Here is a 23,890-nt window from a genome sequence, read left to right as displayed (position 1 = left end):
AGAGTGAGAAGCTGCCTGCAAAGAAACCTCTAAAAGCAAAAATACGTAATGCATTTCTGTTGAGTAAATACCTAGGAGTCGAACTGCTAACCATGGGGTCAGTGTATATTTGACTTTAATGCATACTGAGATGTTTTAAATCACATTCATAGGCCTATGGAATTCCCAAGGCTCCCTGGTTCCCAGACTCCGCCCTTCCTGACTCCTCCCCTCAGCTGCTCACCCACCAGCCCAACCCCCTGGGCGGCTTCTTACAGGGCACCCCCTGCCTTCCAGAGCAGCTGCAATGAAGTCCGTACAAGCTACAGAGGAAACGGTCTTCATGGCCAAGATTTGGGTTGGGTTTTGTGAGCACACATGGTTTTTCTGCCCTGGCTCTGAAACTGTGTTCCTTTCACAGGCCAGAAATACTTAGGCATGGCTCACTCTAAAAGGGGAAATACATTTTTAAATTCCAATCTGCCTGGGTCTTAGAATGATTTAGAACATTCCAGCTGTCTGAAGGACAGTGCTCACCAGGAACAGTGGCTTACAGTCCCCGAGATCAATCGCCTGTGATTTTGGGTCCTGACTCCACCGGGCCTGGGTTCAATGTGCATTTCTTCCGGGGGACTTCTGGGTTCAAATACTGTGCAGAGTCCGGCCGTGCGCTGTGGCTCATGCCTGTAATCCCAGCACTTTGGGAGGCCGAGGTGGGCAGATCACGAGGTCAGGAGATTGAGACTATCCTGGCTAACACGGTGAAACCCCGTCTCTACTAAAAATACAAAAAATTAGCCAGGCCTGGTGGCAGGCGCCTGTAGTCCCAGCTACTCGGGAGGCTGACGCAAGAGAATGGTGTGAACCCAGGAGGCGGAGCTTGCAGTGAGCGGAGATTGTGCCACTGCGCTCCAGCCTGGGCGAGAGACCGAAACTGTCTCAAAAAAAAAAAAAAAAAAAAAAAAAAAAAATATATATATATATATATATGTATATACACACCGCACAGAGTCCAAGCAAACAAGCAGCAGGCCGACACAGTGGCAAGCACATGTGTCTTCGAGTGAGACTTAATCAATACAGCAATCCCGAGCCCTTAGCTAGCTGAGCTAAATCTGCACACGTCATCCCATTTCAGCCTTTCAGTGCCCGATGAGGTGGGTGCACAAGTATTATTTGCACTTCACAGATGAGGAAACAGAAGCACAGAGAGGCTAAGCTATTTGGCCAGGATCACATAGCTTCTAACAGACAGAGCTGGGATTTCAACCCCGGGCTGTCTGGCTCCAGAGACCACACTGAGTACTGTACTACTTTGCTCTAGATTTCAAAATCTAGATGGAAATTCAACCCTGCCATTTATTATCAGTGTGGCCCCTGCTAAGTGGCTGAACTTGCGAGCCACATTTCCTTACTCCACGTGGGTGTGTCGCAACAACCATGCCCGTGACACCCCCTTGTCAAGAGATCAAATGCCAAAGGGCCTCGAACACAGTAAACGCTGCTCAAAGGTTCATCTCCCCACCACCAGCACCCCCCACCTGGCTCCCTGAAATGGCTCCCACCTTCCAGAAGTGCCTGCCTTCCAAAGCCTGAATTTTTAGAGAGAGTTGAGGCATTGGATGTGCTCCAGCCCACCCCCTGAATTTGAGAGTCCAAGGCCCAGGACAGCCCTGACTTGACCAAGGTCACACAAAGTCCAGCTAGAACTCGGCATTCCTGACTCCCAGCCTAAAGCTCCTTCTACCCCTTTGGAAAAGGGTGATTTGTGGTTATGAGGCCAAGGGGCCCTCAGTCAGTCATTCAAGAACTTCTTCCTGACTCCATTTCTTCCTTGGAAGCCCGAGGTTTCACTCAAGGGAAGTTGAGCTCTGGCATTAAGAGAAAACCAGAGAAAGTCTGATTGTGGGGCTCCCAGGCTTGGCGCCCAGTGGGATGGGGTGGGGGCAGGCGAGGAGGCTGGGAGTCAGGCCCGGGTGTCCCGTTGCGACTGTGACTGGGCACCCTGATGTGCCTTCCAGAAAGACTATCTCTCCGTGGGGCCCCCCTCGACCCTACGTGGCCGTTAATATTTATCAGAGCTGAAAGCTGAGCTGCTGGAGCAGTGGAAAACAGCCATGGACAGGTGCCGCGGTGGCTGGCACTCCAGCCCAGGGTGTGGGCCGCTGGGGGGGCTTAGCAGAGGGTAAGGAGGTGGGCAGGGTGGTGTGGGCCGAGCTGGGGCCTCATTGGGGGGTGGAGCCAGGACTGCCATCTGAAAGGGGGAAGCAGGTGATCAAGAAAGTGGGGGTCTCCTTAGGAGAAGCTGGAGCTCCCCTCCTGCCATGGGGGTCTGAGACCAGAGGGTGGGGACAATCGGAGGTCCCCGGCCTGGGCCGGAAGCTGGGGAGCTGGGGGAGGGGCTTGGCGGGGCAGCCCCAACCTCCAACCTGCTTCCCCTCTGGGGGCCCCCGTCCGTCTGTTCTCCACCCAGCAGCCAGCACGGTCTTTTCAAAAGCGCAAGTCTGGTTGTGGTCTCCCTCTTGCTTAAAATCCTTCTCAGCGTTCAGAGCTTTCAGGTTAAAGGTCAGAATCCCTGTTTGCTGGCCCTGCCCAGGTCTCCTGGAGACCCTGAGGCCTCTCGGGACCCTGCACCCTCCTGGTGCCTTGGCCTTCCTAAGAGGCACCAGGCACGTTGCACCACAGGGTCCTTGTATGTGCTGCTTCCGTTGCCTGGAACTTGCGCCCCTCCCCTCTGTGCCTGATGAATTCCTGCCTGTCCCAGGCATACCCCATTCCTCACCCTTCTGCTCTGCAGGCTGACCCTGCAAACTACATTTCCCAGGCTTCCTTGCCTCTGACTTCCCATTAGGGACAGTCCTTGAGAGGCACTTGAGGGAGACTAGAGGGCCAGGGGAGGGAGAAGCCCTCCTCTCACTCCCTCTCTCTTTCTCTCTCTCTCTCTCTCTCTCTCTGCTTGGGCAGTGTCTCTGCAAGTGGCCAGATCTCTGTGGTTCCGGCAGCAGCTCTAGTAACTCCATCCTCCTCCCCTGTCCTGCCCAGGGGTGACAGCAGCTTCCTGCTGTTCTTCGTCACGAGTCAGCCTCACTTCCCTGCTTGCTCTTGCAGCTTCTTCACCGCTTTTGCAGCCCGTTCTCTTTGTTGGATTCCTCTCTTGACTCACCTGGCTCAGGTGCCCTTTTCCTTGACCAGCGTTGGCCTCTGCATGACCATCCAGATCTCGCAGGAGTCCTCCCTGGCCCCGGGGCCTGGCTCGGAAACCTCTGTGATATTCTGAGTGATTTCTTTTCTTTCTGGGCACTGTGTGGGCACCGCTTGTAATTGCTGTTTGTAATTATGGCTTCATGAGCGTGGCTACTTGGCTAACATCTGTCCCCCCTCACATTTGTAAGTTTCATGAGGGCGAGGCCCAGGCATCTGTTTTTGCTCAACTGTGTATCTCCAGCACCAGAACCGAGGTGATGTCTGCCACTTAGGGGGCACTCAGTAAACATGTGCTGAATAATGGGCAAATGAATGCATGAGGAGAGCTGGGAGGGACGCGTTCCACCAAAGCCACTTGCTCCAGGGGAATCTTTTTCCCTTTCTCATAAGGTTACTAAATAAATTGCTTGGAGAGACTCATCATTCACTCATTTGATTAGATTTATGGGCACCTGTCTTGGGCACCAGAATGGATAGGTGGATAGGATAGATGGATGAGTGGATGATGGTTGGGTGGGTGGATGGGTAGACAGATGGAAGCATGGATGGATGGAAGGAAAGAGAAATGAAGGATGGATGGATTGATGGATGGTTTGGTGAGTGGGTGAATGAATATGGGTGGATGGATGGATAGATGGATGGACAGATGATGGCTGGGTGGGTGGATGGATAGGTAGATGGATGAATGGATGGAAGGCAAGAGAAATGAAGGATGAATGGATTGACAAATTGATTGTTTGGTGGAGGGATGGTTTGGTGGGTAGGTGAATGAATGATGAGTGGATAGATGGATGAGTTTGGGATAGAAGGTTTGGTGGGTAAATGGATAGATGGATGAATGGGTGAATGGATGGATGGATGGAGAAAGGATGGATGGATGGATGGATAGAAAGAGAACAGATGGATGGATTAAGATGGGTTGGTGGGTATATGGATGGGAGGAAGGAAGGATTTACTCCTGGAAAAAAAGGCAGGGAGAGAAGACAGGCAGACTGATTTAAGATAAAAAGCACAACTGCCCTTTGCGGAGCAGCAGAGGGCCAGGGAATGTCAGTGCTCACGTGGGAACTTCGTGCTGTGTTCCGCAAAATATGCAGAAAGGTCAGGCTCTGAGAAGGGAGTGGGCAGGGAAGGTAATATCTGAACTGAGGTGCAATTCCCTTGCGTTAACCAAGATTAATGACTGGCTTTGGAGAGGCCACTCCCAGCCATGGCTTTTTGGCCAACAGGACATGCCTGACAGCCCTGTGGCTGCCTCAGAGAGACGGGGCTCCCAGGGTGACAGTTAAGGTTGACGTGCTCCTGGCAGCAGGGGGTAGAGGCAAAAAGTGAGATCCTGGAGCCCCTAAGTTCAAGTCCAGAAGAAGTTGGAACAACATTTCCCTTCACCCCAGTCCTGGGACCCTGGACAGAGAATCTCAAACTAAAAAGCACGCAGAATCACCGTGAGCCTATTAACAAGCTGATGCCTGTGGCTCCCCAGCGATCAGGTCAGGAGGCCAGACTGGGGCCTCAAAGTCTGCACTGATTTTTTTGTTTTGTTTTTTGTTGTGTGTTTGTTTGTTTGTTTTTGAGACGGAGTCTTGTTCTGTCACCCAGACTGCCACGCACTGGGTTCAAGTGATTCTCCTGCCTCAGCCTCCTGAGTAGCTGGGACTACAGGCACCCGCCACCACACCCAGCTAATTTTTGTATTTTTAGTAAAGATGAGGTTTTACCGTGATGGCCAGGCTGGTCTCGAACTCCTGACCTCAGGTGATCCACCTGCCTCGGCCTCCCAAAGTGCTGGGATTACAGGCGGGAGCCACCAGGCCCAGTTTGGATGCCCACATCTTTATATAGGGCTCTGTCCCTTACCTGCAGTTCTAAAATCACAAGTGCTCAAAAAAACCAAGTTTTTGTGTCACTCATTTGGCTGCAAAAAACTGACCTGAGGCTCATCGGAGCCTCCACTTGCTGTACTCTGCATGAATATTCATGTATTTCGCTACAGAAATATAACAGTGGTTGATTAAGGGAACTGCCTCAGCCCCGCTGGGGTGTCATGTAAGATTTGGCACTGGTACCATTTTATAATTCTAATGCTACAGAATATGCTGAGTTCTGGAACTCCTCTGCTGTGATGGAGGTGCATTCGATTTTAACCACGTGGACAGATGTCTTCAGGGCTGACATTTGCTGGATCTTTGCTGGTGTTTTGCTCATGTATTGAATTCAAACATGGAGAGAATTTGTTCTATCTCACATAAAGACATTGAGGTTTAGGGAGGTTCCACTCATGAGAGATAGGCCAGAACTGGGCCTAGATCTCTGGCTGCCAAGCCCAAGCTCAAGCCGTTAGACCTTCCTGCTCCTTCCCCTTCTTGGGGGATGCTGTTTGAGATGTCTCTAATGTTATTGTTTTTCAAACTGTAGTCCATGGACCTCAGAAACCCCACATGTTCATGAAATCCAATGCAGGCTGGGCACCGTGGCTCACGCCTGTAATCCTAGCACTCTGAGAGGCTGAGGTGGGCAGATCACCTGAGGTCAGGAGTTTGAGATCAGCCTGGCCAACATGGTGAAACCCGGTCTCTACTAAAAATACAAAAACTAGCCCAGCGTAGTGGCGGGCACCTGTAGTCCCAGCTACTCGGGAGGCTGAGGCGGGAGAATCTCTTGAACCCAGGAGCCAGAGGCTGCAGTGAGCAGAGATCACGCCATTGCACTCCAGCCTGGGCGACAAGAGCAAAACTCTGTCTCAAAATAAATAAATAAATACCTACCTAAATAAGTGGGCATCCAGGTGATGCTATGAAAAAAAATCATGCTCTGGTTACCTAGGTATTGACCTGGAAGGAGGTTAACCTTATATTGTTAAATAGAAGGAAGATTTTTAAAAACTATATATGTCTTCATAGAAAAAAATACTGGAAGACTGATAGTAGGTGTATTTACCTGGGAATACAGATGGTGCTTTTTCTCTTTTTGCCTGTGGATATTTTCAAAAACCTCCACCTTGGACCATGAATGTATATTATTCATCTGATTTATTTTTAACAACAGGAGTTTTAGGTCAGGTGCAGTGGCTCACACCTGTAATCCCAGCACTCTGGGAGGCCAAGGCGGGAAGATCACTTAAGGCCAGGAGTTTGAGACCAACCTGATCAGCATAGTGAGACCCCATCTCTACAAAAGAAAAATTAGAAAATTAGCCAGGCAGGGTGTTGCACACCTGTGGTTCCAGTTACTTGGGAGGCTGAGGAGGGAGAATCACTTGAGCCAGGGAGGCTGAGGCTGCAGTGAGCCACGATCTCGCCACTGCACTCCAGCCTGGGCAGCAGAGCGAGACCCTGTCTCAGAAAAACAACAACAAAAATAGGACTTTAAAAGTCTTTAAATGCCCAAAGATTTAGTGAGTGACACCTTCGAGGGACAGATTTGGTGGGATCTTTAAGGGACCGAGGTGGGATGGGGTGTCAGGGGACATGGGGGTCAGCACCTACCCATGGCCCCACTTGGGGTCTCCTCTGAGAGGTGTCCAAGCCCCTTCCCCTTGGTCTGCTGGGGCTCTGCTTTCCCTGCCCTGAGCCTTTGCAAACCAGGCTCTGAAGAGGATGTCTGTCCCCTCGTCACCTGTCCAGCCTCAGTTGGTCCCCTCTCTGTGAGAGCCCCTGCCATGGATGCTGCAGGGGCTCAGTGCAGAACACAGGGAGTAAGTGAGGCCAGCAGGTAGGCAGGAGGAGGGGGGCGGTGGAGGTGCCTCTGGTGGGGGTTGCCAACTCGCAGCCATCCCTTCCACAGGTGGCCTGCCATCTGCCCCGGCTCCCCGCCCAAGCCACGTGTCCAGCCCTCTTGAGTTTAACTTTGGCTGTGCACGCAGCCTGAGTTCATACAGCCAGAAAAAGAACTTGCCGAGAGCAGCCAGGCCTGAGGACAGAGTGTGGGTCACTTGTCCCCAGGGAGGGAGGCTAAAAATGACCAGGGACCTTGGAAAGTCCCCCTGCTGGGGCCCCAGGCTGCCTTTTGCTTCTCTGGGTTCCTGGACCTTGGCTTGAAAAGCTTTCTAGAGCTGAACGCTCCCAGGCTTAACCCGACAAATGGAAATGCGGGCCCAGAGAAGTGAGGAGGCTTGCCCGGGGTCACACAGCGCAACTGTTCATTGATTCATTCATTGATTCTGTTTATTGAATGAGCTCCCTGCCCTCTGCAGAAAGGAGGGGGAGCCTATAAATCCAGTGAGAAGAGGAGCTGTCTATACAGACACCTAAACTTCATGCACGAGCTTCCCAGCTCTGCTGCTGATGACCTGAGAGAATGTTCGCTGCGCCCTGAGCCTCTGCTTCCTCATCTGTAAAACAGGAATAATAATAATAGCACTGACCTCTTGGAGCTAGCATGCTTGGCCATGTCACGGATGTCTGATGAGAAAGTCCTTTTATTCAACCTCAGCGTCACGTGCTTTTAATTTTTTTCACACAACCTTGAGCAGTCGCCATCAACATCAACAGCTGTTGTTGTTGTTGTTGTTTGTTGTTTTTATAGGGTCTTGCTCTGTCACCCAGGCTGGAGTGCCGTGGTGCAATCATAGCTCATTGCAGCCTCGACTTCCCTGGCTCGGGTGATTCTCCCAGCTCAGCCTCCCCTAGTAGCTGCAACTGCAGATGTGTGCCACCACAGCTGGCTGATTTTTGTATTTTTTGGTAATGACAGGGTTTCACCATGTTGCCCAGGCTGGTCTCGAACTCCTGGGCTCAAGTGATCCTCCCATCTCAGCCTCCCAGAGTGCTGGGATTACAGGCGTGAGCCCCCGTGCCCACCCACCAGCCTTTTGCAGTGAGGAAATAGACGTGGCGAGTTATTTGTCAGTGCACCCAGGACAAGCCCAGACTCGGACCTGGTCAGTCTGATCCCCAGCCGGCCATCCCCACCCCCTACCCCCCCTCCTCCCTGAATCTGCCTCTGCCCTGCAGGGAACGTGTTGGAGCCTGTCCCCTGGGGTGGGGCCCAGCTGTCATCCTCCGGCTGCCAGGACTCTGGTGTTTGACACCTGGTGCCAGGCCTCAGGCCGAGGCTGGGGAGACACACGCAGCTTCTGGACCATCAGGGGCAGGAAAGGGAGCCCAGGGGGCCAGGCAGGAGCCTTGGGTACAGCATGTTCCATCCTGCGCTACCCACCACACGAGGCCTGCACCCTAACAGGCCCCCTCCTCCAGGCAGCCAGCCCTGCCTGATGCCTGTGGGGAGAACCCAGCCTCTCCTCCTGCCACCATGCATCTCCCTTACACCAGCCTAAGCATCCACTGGGAGAGTCACTTCCTTGCGGGGTTCCAGGGTGGGAGCTGCCCACCATGATGGACTCTCTGGCGCCTGCAGAGCCTGGGACACCCAGTAACTCAGCAATACATGTTGGGTTTTCCGAGTATCAGCTGGAAGAACGTTGTGTGCGTGTTTCTCAGAGCACTGCTGTTGAGGAGTGAGCGTTCCCGCAGCTCACGTGGAGGTGGCCAGTGGGCGCCATGCACTCACGTTATTGAAGACACCTGTGCCGGGCATGGGGCCCTCTCTGTGACCTCAGCCTTCCGGCTATCCCGGTGGGCTGGGGCTCTTACCTCCACCTGGAGATGATGGCCTTGAACTTGGAGACATCCTGTCACTGACAGGGGCAGCTGGGCTGTGGCCCCAGGGTGGCCAACTCCAAGCGTGTTTGTCCCGCTGGGCTGTTTGTGTTTCTGATGAGCCCTACAGACGGTTGTTCTGAGTGGGCTGGTGGCTTCGAGGCCAGCTCAGGCCTGGCTGCCCTGGGGACTCTGACTTCCTGGGTCCTGCGGGGGGCTGCCACCCTCAGAGCTGTCAGGGGCTCCCCAGTGACTCATCTCAACTGGGGCCAAGAAACACAGACCAGCCGGGGAGAGGAGGGCGGGGGCGATTGCTGAGGGAGGCTGGGAGGGTGGGGCCTGGCAGGCCACTGAGGGAGGTGGGGCCCAGGCCTCTTCCCAGCCAGAGGTTGCCTGGACTCCTGCAGAACCCGAGGGCATGCAGAGCTGGCAGCGCTCCTCAGGGATAGGAAACAGGGGCCTCTCCCAGGAGGAGGGAATTCATCCTGAAGGCTGGAAGGCATGGAGCCAGCCGCTGCCTGCTGCCTGCTGCCTGCTGCCTGGGCAGGAGCGGGGTAGGCCTTGTCCTGGGAAAGGCCTGAACGCCTCTTCCTGCTGCCTGGAGGTGCTAGAGCAGCCTCAGAAGGAGCCACCGAGTCAGGGCTGGCCCATCCCCTCATTCCATCTGCCCGGAGAGGGGCCTTCTTCTCACTGTGCCACTCAGGAGCCCAGAGGCAGGAGAGGGACGCTGTGAACCTGACCATGCACAGAGATGGAGGGAGATAGAGATGCAGAGACACACACAGAGCGGGGAGCAGAGAGACAGAACGAGATACAGAGACAGAGAGACACACACAGGATGCTGTGAGACAGATACAGAGACAGAGATACAGAGACAGAGAGACACACACAGAACGGGGAGCAGAGAGACAGAACGAGATACAGAGACAGAGAGACACGCAGAGAGACACACACAGAGCGGGGAGCAGAGAGACAGAATGAGATACAGAGACAGACACACACACAGGATGCTGTGAGACAGATACAGAGACAGAGATACAGAGACAGAGAGACACAGAACGGGGAGCAGAGAGACAGAACGAGATACAGAGACAGAGAGACACAAAGAGACACACAGAGTGGGGAGCAGAGAGACAGAACGAGATACAGAGACAGAGAGACACACACAGAGGATGCTGTGAGACAGATACAGAGACAGAGATACAGAGACAGAGAGACACACACACAGGATGCTGTGAGACAGATACAGAGACAGAGATACAGAGATGGAGAGACACACAGGGGCCCAGAAAGACAGACAGGGATACAGAGAGACACTGAGAAATACAGAGACACAAAGACAGAGACAGAGTGTGTCAGAGGCACACAGAGATACAGAAACAGACATGCAAAGAGACAGACACACACAGAATCAGAGAGACACAGAGACACCCAAAGAGAGACACACACAGACACAGACAGAGGCACACACATGCAGCTACACACACACACACACAGACACACACACACACACAGACACACACACACACAGACACATACACACACACACAGACACATACAAACTGATCCCAGTATCCCCCACAGAGCCCCCAGCCCTCACAGGCCCTGTGCACACGTGCAGCCCTTGCAACCCCATCTTGGCTGCTTCTTGGGGAGCAGCAGGAACAGCCTCCGGGGCCATCCTGCCAGCCGTGACCCAGAGCTTAGCCGTCCCCAGGGCCCAGCAGTCCCCAGCTCTCAGCCCCCAGCTCTCAGCCCCCAGCTTTCTGCTCCCAGGGCCACACATCCCAGCATCAGTGTCTTGCGTTTTGACCCAAATTCGCTCAGGGCGAGGCTCTGCGTGGTGAGGAAGCCCACCAGTGGACACGCTTGGACCCAAGACCTGTGTGTGCATCCTAGGACTGCCACCCGCATGCTGCGAGACCCAGGGCAAGGGACTTCACCTCTCTGAGCCTCAGTTTCCCTCATCTGTGAGGTAGATAGAGTTGGTGGCCAACCTGGGGGCTTGGGGTAGCTGCAGGCTGTGGGAGGAAGGTTGATAACCAGGACGTGGCCCCTGCTTGGCCTCGGAGGGGCTGCCAGGCTGCCTCGGCCCAGCGGTGTGGACTCCAGGAGTGGAGGCGTTTACACTGCCGGTCTGAAGAGTCAGGGCCAGATCAGATGCAGGTCCAGTGGGGACCTGGCTTCTAGTCCCAGCCATGTGGGCTGTGGCTTGGGTTCTGAACAGAACTCCTCCCAGACACAGCTCTGCCCCCGTCCAGGGAGACAACAGAGCTCGGTCAGCAGCCGCCAGGTTTCCCGGTGAACTTACTTCGTGCCCAGCACTGGCGGGACTCCAAGTGCTGCACTCAGGCACCAAGCGAAATAAAGGGAATCCCAGGCTACATGGCCCAGAGAGCTGGGGCTGAGCATGGGGAGCACGGAGAACAGCAGGCATGGAGGGCTGGGAAACTCAGCTTCCTGGGTTTTTTTTTTTTTTGAGACAGATTCTTGCTCTGTCACCAGGCTGGAGTGCAATGGTGCCATCTCGGCTCGGCTCATTGCAATCTGCATCTCCCTGGTTCAAGCGATTCTTCTGTCTCAGCCTTCTGGAGTAGCTGGGATTACAGGCACCTGCCACTGCACCCAGCTAATTTTTGTATTTTTAGAAGAGACGGAGTTTCGCCATGTTGGCCAGGCTGGTCTCGAACTCCTGACCTCGTGATTGGCCCGCCTCGGCCTCCCAAAGTGCTGGAATTACAGCTATGCGCCACCGTGCCCAGGCTCAGCTTCTTTTTATGAATGGATTTCATTGAGGCATAATTTATACAATAAAATACATCCGTTTTAAGTGAGTTTGGCACAGGTGTCCACCCTCCTCCCCACCACTGCAATCGAAATAATCAATACATTTCCCCTTTCCCTGCCAGTTCCCACTCCAGTCCCTGAATGCCACTTGTGGATACTCTGTCCCATATTTTTGCTTTTCCTGGAAGTTCGTACCGCTGGAGTCACACAGAGTCACAGCTTACAGTTGCAGTCCCGTGCCTGGCTTCCTTCATTGGCATCTTGTTTTTGAGACTCTTCCAAGCTGCTGCGTGCATGGGTCATTCTTTCCTCTTTCCTGATGAGGAGCGTCCCACTCCAGGATGACACCACGGTTTGTTTACCCAGCTCCTGTGGATGGATATTTGGATCGTTGCCAGCTCGAAGTTATTACAGAGAAAGATGCTGTGAACATTTGTGCACAGGTCTTTGTGTGGACATGTGTTCTCATTTCTCCTAGATAAATACCGAAAAGTGGAACTGCTGGGTCACAGGGCAGGTGTTGACCCTGAGTGGAGCGGTTTAGCCTCAGTTTACATTTATTTATTTGTTTGTTTATTTATTTATTTAGAGACAGAGTCTCTGTCTCCCAGGCTGAAGCGCAGTGGCGCGATCTCAGCTCACTGCAACCTTCGCCTCCCAGGTTCAAGTGATTCTCATGCCTCAGCCTTCTGAGTAGCTGGGATTACAGGCTCACACCACCACGCCCAGCTGATTTTTTGTATTTTTAGTAGAGACGGGGTTTCGCTGTGTGGGTCAGACTGGTCTCAAACTCCCGACCTCAGGTGATGCACCCGCCTTGGCCTCCCAAAGTGCTGGGATTACAGGCTTGAGCCACCGCACCTGGCCAGTTTCCTTATCTTTATAATGGGAATTAAAAAGTTGGAAACAACCATCTGGCATGCATCAGCAGGTGAACGGATAAACAAAATACGATGTGTCCACAACATGGAGCATTATTTGGCCAAGAAAAGGAATGATAGCCCTTGACAACATATGCCTGGAGACAGAAGCCAGACACAAGGCCACACACTGATCCCATCGACATGAAATACCCAAAACCGGCAATCCGTAGAGACAGAAGGCAGCTTAGTGGCTGCTTAGGGCTGGGGGCCAGGGGGCTGGGGAACCACGGATCGTGGGGATAGGGTTTTCCTTTTGGAGTGATGGGCATATTCTGAAATGAGATACAGGTGGTGGCTGCACAACCTCATGACTGCACTGAACGCCACTGAATTGTACCCTTTAAAATAGTTAAAGTGGGCCAGGTGCAGTGGCTCATGCCTGTAATCCCAGCACTTTGGGAGGCCAAGGCGGGCAGATCATGAGGTCAAGAGACCGAAACCATCCTGGCCAACATGTGGAAACCCTGTCTCTACTAAAAATACAAAAATTGGCTGGGTGTGGTGGAACACCCCTGCAGTCCCAGCTGCGCGGGAGGCTGAGACAGAATTGCTTGAACCCGGGAGGCCCAGGTTGCAGAGAGCCTACATCGCACCACTGCACTCCAGCCTGGCAACAGAGCGAGACTCTGTCTCAAAAAAAATATGTAAATAAAATAAAATGGTTAAAGTGGTGAAGTTTATGTTATTTGAATTTTGTCTCCATTTTCAAGAGGAGGAGGCTAATCTGATCGTCGTTTTTAGGGTTCCTGCAAAGGTTACACGAGATGCCCCAGGGAGCATTTAGCACAGTGCCGGGCACACAGTCCCAGGATGACAGCTGCAGGTCTTCGGGGGTTCCATCTGCTCACGTACGTCTCTGTCCCCGTGCTTACAACACTGCCTGCATGTGGGAGACACGCAATGAATATCTTTTCATCAGGAACAGTTAGCTTCGAGACTATGATGTCCTCAGGCCCCTAAGCAAAGCCCTGCCAGGAATGCATGGTAATGAGAATGTCTGCAGCACGACTGTGACCTTGACATCCACTATCTTCAAGAAATCTTCACAACAACCCCATCGTTAATCTCCCCATGTTTACAGAGAAGGAAACCGAGAGGGGTTAAGGAAGCCGTCCAAGGTCAGCCACCAGCCCAGACTGGCGACTCCCGAGCCCATGGGGCAGGTGAGCAGGCTGTGTGGTCAGCCAGCGCGGACTCCCCCCACGCAGCATCACCGAGCCTCAAACGGAGAGGCCCACCCTCGACGATCTGTGCAGAGCAAGGCTCTCTGCCCTACTCTCAGGCTGGATTTTCACAGAGACGAGGCCAGGAAGGGAGATTGTCCCTGTGGGTCTGTCCCGGAAGAGACCCTGGGCTCCAAGCACAGAGCAGGATGTAGCCTGCCCCGGGGTCCTCCGGCCGAGCCAGGAAGAAGGCCTCAAGGCAGCCAGGCCGGCAGGGATTTCCCAGAGGCTCTGACTTGGAGGGAAAAAGGAGGTAAGGAAAATGCAGCCAAAACTAGGCCAGGGAAACCGGCTCATGGCTGCCTGGGCCGGCCGCTGTCCCCTGGCAGCTGCAGTGACTCTCCCAGGGCTTCGGCCATTGATTGGCCTCTTGTCCTTAGCCCTCAGTGGCCATGGGCGCACCTCGTTCTCATTCTTGGAATTCTCCTGAGACCTCACTTTTGGCTGGATCTCAGCCTGGCTGACCCCTCCCCAAGGCCATCATGCTACTTCCTGCCTGGATTGGGGAAGGATCACCCTAGAGGCTTCCCCCTCCTCATTCCCCCATTCCCAATTCCCATCCCAACCCCTGAAAAATGTTTACCCCGGTGTACTCGTGAGCATGCTTCTGCCACATCCAGTTCTGCAAAACTCTGTTTCATGCATGTCACTCTCCTGCTCTCAAACTATCCGTGGCTCCCTAGTGCTCTCAGAGAGGCAGTTCGAAGACAGGCTAAGAGCAAGGATGCTGGAGCCAGGACATCTGGGTTTGAATTCTGACTCAGCTACTTACACATTGAGAGATCCTGGGCAAGTCACTGACCTTGCCGTGCCTCTCTTGCTCCATCTGTGAAATGGAATAAGCACTGGGGCCTCCCACACCATTCTTGGCATAGTAAATGAACTGATGGACATAACATGTTTAGCACAGGGCCTGCTGGTCATTGTAAGGACTGTGAATACTGAGGGCAGAGCCAGTCCATCTCCAGGGTCTGGACCAGGGCACAGTATCTGGGATCCACTCCAGCCAAAACACACGGCCTCCACTGGCCGTCCCCATCACTGTGATGTCGCTCCCCCACCCCGAAGCCTTCCACCCCTGCAGTCAAATTATCTTACAAGCTCAGCTCAAAAGGCACCCCATCCACCCGGCCCCAAGCAATCAGGTCACCCGACTTGACCTTCTTCCATGGGTGTCCACACCAGCGCTTCTCAGACAGGAAGTACACGTGAAGCCCCCTAAGCCCGCCTGGAAGAGGAGCTGATCCCCATCTGGGCTGAGCCCTGGACAGGCAGCTCTGGTCAGGAGGCCCCTGGCCTGCAGGCTTTGTGTCCGCCCCTCCCGGGAGCAGACTCCAGGCTGGTGTGGTGCCCGCTCAGGGCCATTCACCAGAGTTAAACATCTAGCCAGCAAGAGGGCGGGGGCCTCGGCTACGCTCCAGCTTCTGCCCTCCCCGGCCCTGCCCCAGTGGCTCTGTCCATCCGTCCTGGGCAGTGCTCAGCAGCCTCACTTCCTCTCTCTGTGGCCCCCTCCCCTGCACAGGACCCAGGGCACCCCGTCGGCTCCTCCGTCCCCATCTAATGCCACCTCACAGTCACTTGTTCATTCATTCGACACGCATTCATTAAGCGCCCTCTGTGGCTTGCCCAGGTCTCTGATCCCTCAGCTGTCATGTAGCTGTTCTCGGGACAAGCTTTACTTTCTCGCCTTGTAAAGTGGTCTTGGGTGGGTCATGTCACCTTCTTCCCCAGGCCCCGCTGGGATGGCCCATGGGACGTTGCCATCACAGGTTGAGCACCTACCATGTGCCGGGCACTGTGTCATGCAGGTTACAAATATCCTCCCACAGATGTCCCCGCAAGCCCTGGAAAGCCAGGGCCTCTTCTGCTCCCTGCCCCTCACTTGCAGAAAGTGAAGCTCAGAGAGGCAGAGTGACCTGCCCCGGGGCGCACAGCTGGTGAGAGGCCAAGCCAGGGCTTCTTGCTCCAAAGTCTGGGATTCGCAGGGCTCCACAACCCCTCGCCTGTTGGTGTTGGCTGCGTGTAACAGCCACATCCTACGATGAGATTTTCTGTGGCTTCTCAGTCCCCTCAAACCCCTGTAGATGGCAGCTCGGTCCTGTCCCCGACCCTGACCTCGGGGTCCTGAATCTCCAGCCCAGAAATGTTGACCTTGACGTCAACCCTGCAGGCTCAAACAATCCCCAAAGGTGCCCCTCGTCCTAACCCCTGCACCTGCAACTGTGTTAACTTGGGTGGCCAAGGGACTCTGCAGACATGATTCAGTGAAGGACCTGGATGTGGGGGGCGGGTGTGTGTCCTGGATTAGCCAGTGGGCCTGAGGAACCCCGGGGCCCTCACAGGAGGGAGCCAGGGGCATCACACTCAGAGAGAGGAACTGGAAGATGCTCCAATGATGGATTTGGAGAAAGAGGAAGGGGCCAGGAGCCAAGGAATTCGGGTGGCCTGGAAGCTGGGAGCACAAGGACCAGGGCTTCCCAGAGCCTCTAGAAGGAACCAGCCCTGTCGACATCCGGATTTTGGCCCAGTGAGAGCCATGTCTGACTTCTGACCTGCAGAAGCAGGAGAGAAGCAGCTGCGAGGTTTCAGCCTCTAAGCTTGTGGTGATTTGTCAGGGCAGCCATGGGACACTCACACAACGCCCTGGACACCCCGCTGCTGTACGAGTCCTGGCCGTGCCTGACCTCCTCCCTTCCCTACCCCCAGGTTGATGCAAGGCGGCCCCCACCCACACCCAGACCCCAGGCGTGAAGGAGGTCTTGGCCGCCCCAGCCTCTCCGGTCTCGCAGCCTCTGGGCTCTGGGCCCTGCCTCTGGCCCTGCTCGCTTTCTGCCCTGGGCCATTGTTAGTGCCTTATCAGCCCAGCACATCTCGCCTGCATCTAATTGGAATTTCCTCAGAGGCAGGAAACCTGGCTCAGGCGTCATCAGGGCTCAGATGGTGGACCTGTGGCCTTCCTACTGGGTAAACTGGGTAAACTGAGGAACTGACTTTTACTGAGTCGCACACCTGCCCACTCTTGGCTAACCTCCTGGGGCTGCTTGATGCTGTTTCCCGTGGCCCAGGAAGCCCTCAAAGTCAGCCCATCTTCCCTCCCGCTGTGTCCTCCTGCAGGGCCTCTGCCCAGGCAGCTCTCTCTGCCCGTAAGCTCAGCCCCTCTGGGTGCAGAGCTGCTCCGTCTTGCTCAGGGCTCAGCGCGGCAGGAGTGAGAAGCCACCTCTTCGAGAGCTGCCCCGCACGGCACTCCCTTGCTGGAAATCACTTCATTTATTGCTTGGCCTTTTTTTTTTCCCCTGAATCTTCTGAGGGGATCATGGTGCCTACACCACTCCCAGGACCTGTTTCGAGGCACGGGGTCCACGTGTCTCTCACAGATGGGCCACGGCAGCTGTTGCACAAAGGTGTTCCTGGCTCCAGCTGACCTCAGGCGAGTCAAGTCTCCTCCTGGGCTGGGGGTTGCACCTGGAACATGGCAATACAAAGGCAGGTCTGGTAAGGACATAAGACGCCTGATGGCACACACAGTATGTGCTCAGCTAACAGCAGCTCTTTCCCTTGACCCTCCAATGATCGTCAAGGTGCCCCCTTGATCCACAGGCCAGGGAGGTTATTGATTGATAAAATGTTTCCCCTGGCATGGAATGCACAGCCCATGATGCCCTGTCCTCCTTCAGGCAGAGCTGAGGGCACAGGAGACCCACAGCTGTGCGGACTCCCCGCTGGTGGGGATGGCCACATTCCAGGTGGGACAACAGAGCTCTGCTCAGGGTCATACAGCTGACATGTCACAGATTCAGACTTCCAACCTGCTCTGTGTGGCTTTGCCGTGGCCCGAAGAAGAAGAGCAGGACTCAGAGGCATCTCACAGGTGGACAAAGACCCCAATCTGCATGCAGCGGTTAAAGCTCCCTGTACACCTCCTGCTGTGGACAGAGACCCCCGAATCTGCGTGCAGCGGTTAAAGGTCCCTGTACCCCTCCTGCTGTGGACAGAGACCCCCGAATCTGCGTGCAGCGGTTAAAGGTCCCTGTATGCCTCCTGCTGTAACCAGAACCCCACGAACAGCTCGTGTCAAGGTTCCCAGGCCGGCCAGGCAGGGCTGGGCAGAGTGAGGTGCTCCAGCTCACGGACAGGGGGACTAAAAAGGCTTGGGGGCTCAGAGAACGTTCATTCCAGTTCCCCAGGGACAGGAATCCGCCCCAGCCCAGGTTCCTGCCCCAGCGAGGCCTTCTCATCGGCGTGATCGGGGTCTGGTTTGCAGCCAGGCCACACAAAGCCACACAGAGCAGCCTCGGAAGTTTGGTGACAGAAAACGACGTGACCTTGGCGGGGTTTGGAGGCTGCAGCTTTTGGCGGGGCAGGTCAGGGCCCCGGGGTGTTGTGGCCACAGAGCCACGCAGGGGAGGCGCTAGGTTGTGGGTTAGGGGACGGGGAGGCCCCTTCATCCCTGGCCAGGTTGGGCAGCAGTGACGCCTTCTTTCCTCCCCCACTGCCCCCCTACAACCCCGACACTCTTCACGGAACCCCTGTGTCTGCTAGGCACTGGGTAGGCACTATTTGTATAAATAAAACTCCTTTTGGGCCTGTGTGGATCCCCTCCTGAGCCAAAAGGCAGTTTGAGTCTGGGAGTGACAAGACCTGGCCGTCACAGGAGTGGGTGGGGCAGGGAGAGGAGGTGACCTTTTGCAGCTCAACCCCCTCCACAGCCTCATTTGAAAGGTCCTGCCCAGGACTGTGGGGGAGAGGGGAATAAGGAGGGGGACACTGTCTCAACAAAGGTCATGATGTCCCAGTTTTGCCCGAGGCTGTCCCCCATGTCATTCCTGCCAGCTGCAAAGAGCAGGGGAGCCCACAGCCAGCTCTGAGTGAGGGGATGGCGGCCACCACCCGGTCAGAGCCCCGCTCCGCGCCTGCCAGAGCAGAGGATGCTGGAGAAGCAGGGGCCAGGACACATAGGTGGTCCCAGAGCTGGGAGCTGCTGAAGGAGGCTCCAGAGACCCCGCAGCCTCCACAAACAGCATCCACTTCCTGCAGGGTCCTCTCCCCAAGGCCCCATTTGCTTTGAGCAAACAACCCTCTCACTGACTCCCAGGCCTGACCCTGGCCAGGCTGCATGGGGTCCTCTGGGGAGGTTTTCTCAAAGACCTGTCCAGCCCATGGGCCACTGCAGGAAATCCTGGAGGCCAGCGCTACAATGCATCGCTTCCGGCAGCCTAGGGGTACCTGGGCACAGGAAAGAGGTGCCGGCAGCTTTCAGGCTTTCAAAAGGGACTGGGTGGCCCCCTGGGATCATCACGGCCTTGAGCAGCAGTGGTCAGGCAGGGGAACAGAAAGGCTGACCTGGGAGGGCAATGGGAGTTTCGAGCTGTGAGGGACAGCCTTCCTAAAATCCCACTTTCTCACTCCTCTGCTTACATACATTCCATGGCTCCCCATTGCCCAAAGGATCAAGTCTAGACACTGAAGCTTGGCAGGCAGGCTTTCTCGAGCGTCTCCACCAGTGGTAGCCCTCTCTCCAGGCAGACCAGTCTTACGCCAAACACTCCCGCCCTGACTGAGGTCTTTGTCTTGGCCGCCGCATCTGCCTGGAAGGCCCACACTCCTCCCCAGAGCAGCTTTGGGGCGGTCCAGTGTGTTTAGTGCTTATCGTGATTGACTCTGACAGCTCCTCAACCCTATGGTGACTGCAGTTCTCCCAGGTCCAGGACGGTGCCCCAGCTGCTCCCACAGGGAAGATGTGCACAGCGTGATCAAGATAGCCAGACAAGGCCAGGTGCGGTGGCTCACACCTATAATCCCAGCACTTTGGGAGGTTGAGGCCCGTGGATTCATCTTAGGTCAGGAGTTCAAGACCAGCTTGACCAATATGGTGAAACCCTATCTCTACTAAAAAATACAAAATGAGGCCAGGCAAGGTCGCTCACGCCTATAATCCCAGCACTTTGGGAGGCCAAGGCGGGCAGATCACGAGGTCAGGAGATCAAGACCATCCTGGCTAACACGGTGAAACCCCGTTTCTACTAAAAATACAAAAAATTAGCTGGGCGTAGTGGTGGGCGCCTGTAGTCTCAGCTACTAGGGAAGCTGAGGCGGGAGAATGGCGTGAACCCGGGAGGTGGAGCTTGCAGTGAGCCGAGATCATGCCACTGCACTCCAGCCTGGGCGACAGGGCCAGACTCTGTCTCAAAAAAAAACAAAATTAGCCGGGCTTGGTTGTACACACCTATAATCCCAGCCACTCGGGAGCCTGAGGCAGGAGAATCCCTTGAACCCGGGAGGTGGAGGTTGCAGTGAGCCAAGATCACACCACTGCACTCCAGCTTGGGCGACAGAGTGAAAATCTGTCTTAAAAAAAAAAAAAAGATATTCAGACCAGGCCGGGCACAGCGGATCATGCCTGTAATCTCAGCACTTTGGGAGGACGAGTTGGCGGGAGGATCGCTTGAGCCTAGGAGTCTGAGAACAGCTTGGGCAACACAGCAAGACCCCATCTCTACAATTTTTTAAAATATTAGCTGGTCGTGGTGGTGTGCACCTGTAGTCCCAGCTATCCAGGAGGCTGAGGTGGGAGGATCGCTTGAACCCCAGTGGTTGAGGCTGCAGTGAGCTGTGATCCCACCACTGCATTTCAGCCTGGGCAACAGGGCAAGACTCTATCCGACACCGCCCCTCCCCGGAAAAAATAAAAATAAAAAAGATAAGGTGAGCATTGAGCATGGAGCTGCCATGTGTGGAGATGCTGAACCTTTTCTCTGCAGCTCTCTGCTTAGGAACAAAAGGAAAGGCAGCTTCTTACAGGACTCAGCTTTCAGCTTAATTTCTTCCTTTTGGCAGAGTGGATTGAGGTCCCCATATTTTATTTTCCTTTCACACCCCCTCCGGCACAAGGCTCAGGTGCTTGGTGCTGGATCTGGAACATGGGCTGGCTCTGCAGGGCTGCTCGGGGAGGAAGCTGCTGAGTTAGAACCCCTCTTTTGGACACGTCTCCCCACCACCCACGCCACCAGCAACTGCAGGAATCTCTGTAAACCACAAATCTGGCGATGACACTAACACTAAGAGTTAAACCCTCCAGTGGCCCCTGAGGTCCTCAGAACAAAGTCCACCACTCTCCTGGAGCTCAGGCCTACCACAACCCCACCCTCCCTCACCTCCTCACTTGTGCAACGGGGAGCACTTAACTTCTATCGTCCTCAAATGTGTATGTTTTCTCTTGCCTCTGTCCTCTTGCACAGGCAGCTCCCGTTGCCTGAAACACTGTTTTCTGCCTCCCCGCTCCTCTTTCTTCTTGTTTTCTTCCTTTCATTTTCGGCTTAAATGCCTCCTCCTCCAGGTTGCCCTCCTGATTATTCCAAGACTGGTGGGATGTCTTTAAGGATTTGTGCAGCCCCCAGAGCTGCCCATATATTTTATATTTCTTACACTGTCTTGTCAATACTTGGATAATTGTTCTCTTTGCTAGCCAGCCCCCTGTGAGGATAGGGACCTTTGACTTCTCTAGGTTTCATCCTTTATTCCCTACCTCTGGGGTCACCATCTCATTGATGTCACCAGCACCTCCACTTAAACAATGAAGAATCGCCTCCTCCCCGCTCACTCTCCCTCCCCTCACGCGGTCCCACCACCTGGCCAAGGGGGTCTTCCTAAAGCATGAGTCAGACCCTGAGCTCCCCTGCTCAAGCCCACTAGTGACCTCCCCACTGATCTTAGAATAAAGCCCCAAGTCGTCACCATGGCCCACAGGACGCCCGGATCAGATCCTGCCCCCCTTCCCTTGGTCCCTCCTTGTAAGCCCCCTGGGGCTTCCTTCCATACTCTACAGCCCAGCAAACCTCTTGTGCCTCAGGGCCTTTGCACATGCACTCCTGCTGCCAGGAGAATTCCTACTGCTCCCCATGTGACTGGGCCCTCTCCTCCTGCCCAGCCCAGGTGAAAGGAGCCCCCCTCAGAAGCAGGCTGACCTTAGACTCACGGGCTCCAGCACCTGGCTGACTCCCTTCCTAGACCCACCCTAATGACAATTACCGTATTTACCCACTTGGTTATGTTTTTATTCCTCGCATTTCACTAAAATGGAGGAGGCAGGATATTCTGTCTCGCATGCTGTTATAATCCAGATGCCTGGCATGCACCCTCACCCCCAACAGGACTCGGCCAATATTTGAGAAACAAATGGATGAGTGAAGGGACGTAGGCCTTCTCTGCCATGCTGGGTTTGAGGAGGCCAGGGACCAGAACCCCTGCCCACGCCCCCCTGAGCCCCTTCGTCTACCGGCCTCCCCAGGCTCTCCTGGAGACATGTTACCCAGTCACGTGCAGAAGAGATGACGCTTTTAAACAAAACAAACATGCTTTCAAGTGGCCTGGGGACATGGTGGCTCACACCTGTAGTCCCTGTCACGTGGCCTGGTGTTGGCGGAGGTTTCAGCAGGTGGCATTGAAGGGAGCCACAGACGGATGGACAGAGGGCTGGGCAAGCAAGCAAAACCACCAGCCTGGGTCACAGCTCTGCTGAGGTCCGAGAAGTCCTCTCTGCACCGTGTCTGTCTCAAAAGTGTCTGCAATCCATCAGCGTCAGGGGAGCTAGGGGCCTGCCACTGGTGGCTGCAGGCTTGGCTCTCTCTGTTGAAATGCTGTGGACACTGGGCATGGTGGCTCATGCCTGTAGTCCCAGCACTTTTGGAGGCTGAGAGGGGGAGGATCTCTTGAACCCAGGATTTCAAGACCAGCCTGGGCTACATAGTGAGATCCTGTCTCTACCAAAAAAAAAAAAAAAAAAGGAAGAAGAAGGAGAGATAGAGAGAGAAAATTAGCCAGGCCTGGTGGCGCATGCCTGTGGTCCCAGCTACCGGGGAGGCTGAAGTGGGAGGATCACCTAAGCCCGGGAGGGGAGGCTGCAGTGAACTGAGATTACATCACTGCACTCCGGCCTGGGTGAAAGAGGGAGACCTTGACTAAACAACGACAACAACTAAAAGGATGCAACCCATGACGTGGGCGGGGGGTGGGCAAGAGCACAGCTCCCCCCACCAACCCCATCTTTAGAAGCGGACAGACTGGGCTTTTCCAAAACCACATCATTTGTTCAGGCTCTTGCCTTTCAAAGGGACATCTTCAGAAGGCGGTCTTCAAGCAGGAAAGAGAAAATGTTGTGGGAAGGAGAGGCAAGGAGAGAACAGGAAAGAAAAGAGAAGGAAGGGATGGAGAGAGAGAGAGGAAAGAAAGAAAGAAAAAGAAAGAAAGGTAGGGAGGGAGGGAGGAAGGAGAGAAGAGGGGAAAAGGGAGGGAGAGAGAAAAGGGAGAAGGAAGAAAATGAAAGAAGGAAGGAGGGAGGAAAGAAAGACAGAGAGAGAGAGAGACCAACCGAAAGCCAGAGAGACGGGAGAGGAAGGAAAAAGCAGAGAAAGAAAGAAGAAAAAGAGAAAGGCAGGAGGGGCAAGGGGAAGAATGAGCATGCACATCAGCCCTCAATCAGAGGAGCCCCAGCCCCCTGTCCCTAAGCCACCCCAGAGGCCCCCGTCTCCCCTTGGCAGACCAGGCTTGCTGGTGGGACCCCACCCACCGCCCAGGCCCGCCCCGCTCCTGGACACGGCGGTTACACAACGGCCTCTGTGGACACCGTCCAGAAGCTGGAGGTCACATGGGGCAGCTTCGCCCGGGACTGGGAGGCGCTTCCCAGACCCAGGCCACCCCTCCTGCCCGGCGAGCTTGGCCGGGAGTCAGCTCTCCAGCGCACTGGCCAGAGTGTTCCCAGATGTGCACCGCGGGTGATAAAAGGCGCACTGGTTCCTGTCAGCAGCAGGGAACTCCAGGAGGGGACCCCCAGCAGCCGGCCGGGGCAGATGTTTGCAACGTGTGCGCTGGCGGCAGGGAGGGGAAGCCAGAGGCACCGGGATGGCCTGGCTGGCTCGCAAGGGGACCACACAGGGGTGTCGCCACACCCCCTCTCCTGGGACGCACATCAGACAGGATGGGGTCAGGTGCAGTTAGGAGGAGACACCCTGCCCTTCCCACCTGGCTGCTCACTCCACCGTGGACTGCCCTGGGAGTGGCATCCGGTTTGGGGTTACCTGGGCCTCTACTGCCTGCCCTGGAACTGCATCCCGGCTTGGAAATGGGCTGCTCCTCCCTCTGCCCCTGAGTTTCTGGGGATGGTGCCAGTCCCAGTACTTTGCCC

The 23,890-nt window shown here is 55.0% G+C and overlaps 2 long non-coding RNA genes across 3 annotated transcripts in view, besides 8 other annotated features; one reads left to right on the top strand and one right to left on the bottom strand.

Moving 5' to 3' along the window:
* The window catches only part of LOC105371382 (uncharacterized), a 26,357-nt gene extending 8,034 nt beyond the window's left edge, over positions 1-18,323 (top strand). Inside the window, exon 2 of one of the 2 annotated variants that reach the window (XR_933839.3) lies at positions 13,232-18,323. This is a non-coding gene — a long non-coding RNA (uncharacterized LOC105371382). Of the gene's footprint in view, positions 1-11,689 lie in introns of both variants that reach the window. The other variant, XR_002957894.2, reaches the window with a different exon arrangement.
* Positions 196-490: a silencer, noted in NCBI's record as "tiled region #15454; K562 Repressive non-DNase unmatched - State 7:EnhWF". NCBI's record gives its function as "represses a minimal TATA promoter and a strong SV40 promoter by Sharpr-MPRA in K562 cells {active_cell/tissue: K562}" and the evidence as "EXISTENCE:reporter gene assay evidence [ECO:0000049][PMID:27701403]".
* Positions 6,997-7,497: an enhancer, noted in NCBI's record as "H3K4me1 hESC enhancer chr16:85187102-85187602 (GRCh37/hg19 assembly coordinates)". NCBI's record gives its function as "activates a minimal SCP1, AML or CMV promoter by ChIP-STARR-seq in naive H9 embryonic stem cells {active_cell/tissue: H9 hESC(naive)}" and the evidence as "EXISTENCE:reporter gene assay evidence [ECO:0000049][PMID:30033119]".
* Positions 8,762-8,841: an enhancer, noted in NCBI's record as "active region_11264". NCBI's record gives its function as "activates an Ori minimal core promoter by ATAC-STARR-seq in GM12878 lymphoblastoid cells {active_cell/tissue: GM12878}" and the evidence as "EXISTENCE:reporter gene assay evidence [ECO:0000049][PMID:35858748]".
* Positions 9,112-9,231: a silencer, noted in NCBI's record as "silent region_7801". NCBI's record gives its function as "represses an Ori minimal core promoter by ATAC-STARR-seq in GM12878 lymphoblastoid cells {active_cell/tissue: GM12878}" and the evidence as "EXISTENCE:reporter gene assay evidence [ECO:0000049][PMID:35858748]".
* Positions 9,292-9,341: a silencer, noted in NCBI's record as "silent region_7800". NCBI's record gives its function as "represses an Ori minimal core promoter by ATAC-STARR-seq in GM12878 lymphoblastoid cells {active_cell/tissue: GM12878}" and the evidence as "EXISTENCE:reporter gene assay evidence [ECO:0000049][PMID:35858748]".
* LINC02139 (long intergenic non-protein coding RNA 2139) lies at positions 11,550-23,843 on the bottom strand. Its single transcript, NR_033984.1, has 3 exons — positions 23,784-23,843; positions 17,052-17,175; positions 11,550-13,370 (listed from the first exon to the last, which is right to left on the bottom strand). It is a non-coding gene; the product is annotated as a long intergenic non-protein coding RNA 2139 (long non-coding RNA).
* Positions 13,292-13,836: an enhancer, noted in NCBI's record as "H3K4me1 hESC enhancer chr16:85180763-85181307 (GRCh37/hg19 assembly coordinates)". NCBI's record gives its function as "activates a minimal SCP1, AML or CMV promoter by ChIP-STARR-seq in primed H9 embryonic stem cells {active_cell/tissue: H9 hESC(primed)}" and the evidence as "EXISTENCE:reporter gene assay evidence [ECO:0000049][PMID:30033119]".
* Positions 13,837-14,381: an enhancer, noted in NCBI's record as "H3K4me1 hESC enhancer chr16:85180218-85180762 (GRCh37/hg19 assembly coordinates)". NCBI's record gives its function as "activates a minimal SCP1, AML or CMV promoter by ChIP-STARR-seq in primed H9 embryonic stem cells {active_cell/tissue: H9 hESC(primed)}" and the evidence as "EXISTENCE:reporter gene assay evidence [ECO:0000049][PMID:30033119]".
* Positions 22,958-23,890: an enhancer, noted in NCBI's record as "H3K27ac-H3K4me1 hESC enhancer chr16:85170709-85171641 (GRCh37/hg19 assembly coordinates)". NCBI's record gives its function as "activates a minimal SCP1, AML or CMV promoter by ChIP-STARR-seq in naive H9 embryonic stem cells {active_cell/tissue: H9 hESC(naive)}" and the evidence as "EXISTENCE:reporter gene assay evidence [ECO:0000049][PMID:30033119]".

Source organism: Homo sapiens, chromosome 16 (assembly GCF_000001405.40).
Source record: "Homo sapiens chromosome 16, GRCh38.p14 Primary Assembly".
Classification (NCBI taxonomy): Eukaryota; Metazoa; Chordata; class Mammalia; order Primates; family Hominidae; genus Homo; species Homo sapiens.
Note: the sequence above shows the minus strand (reverse complement) of the source record. Positions and strands in the feature narration are given on the sequence as shown.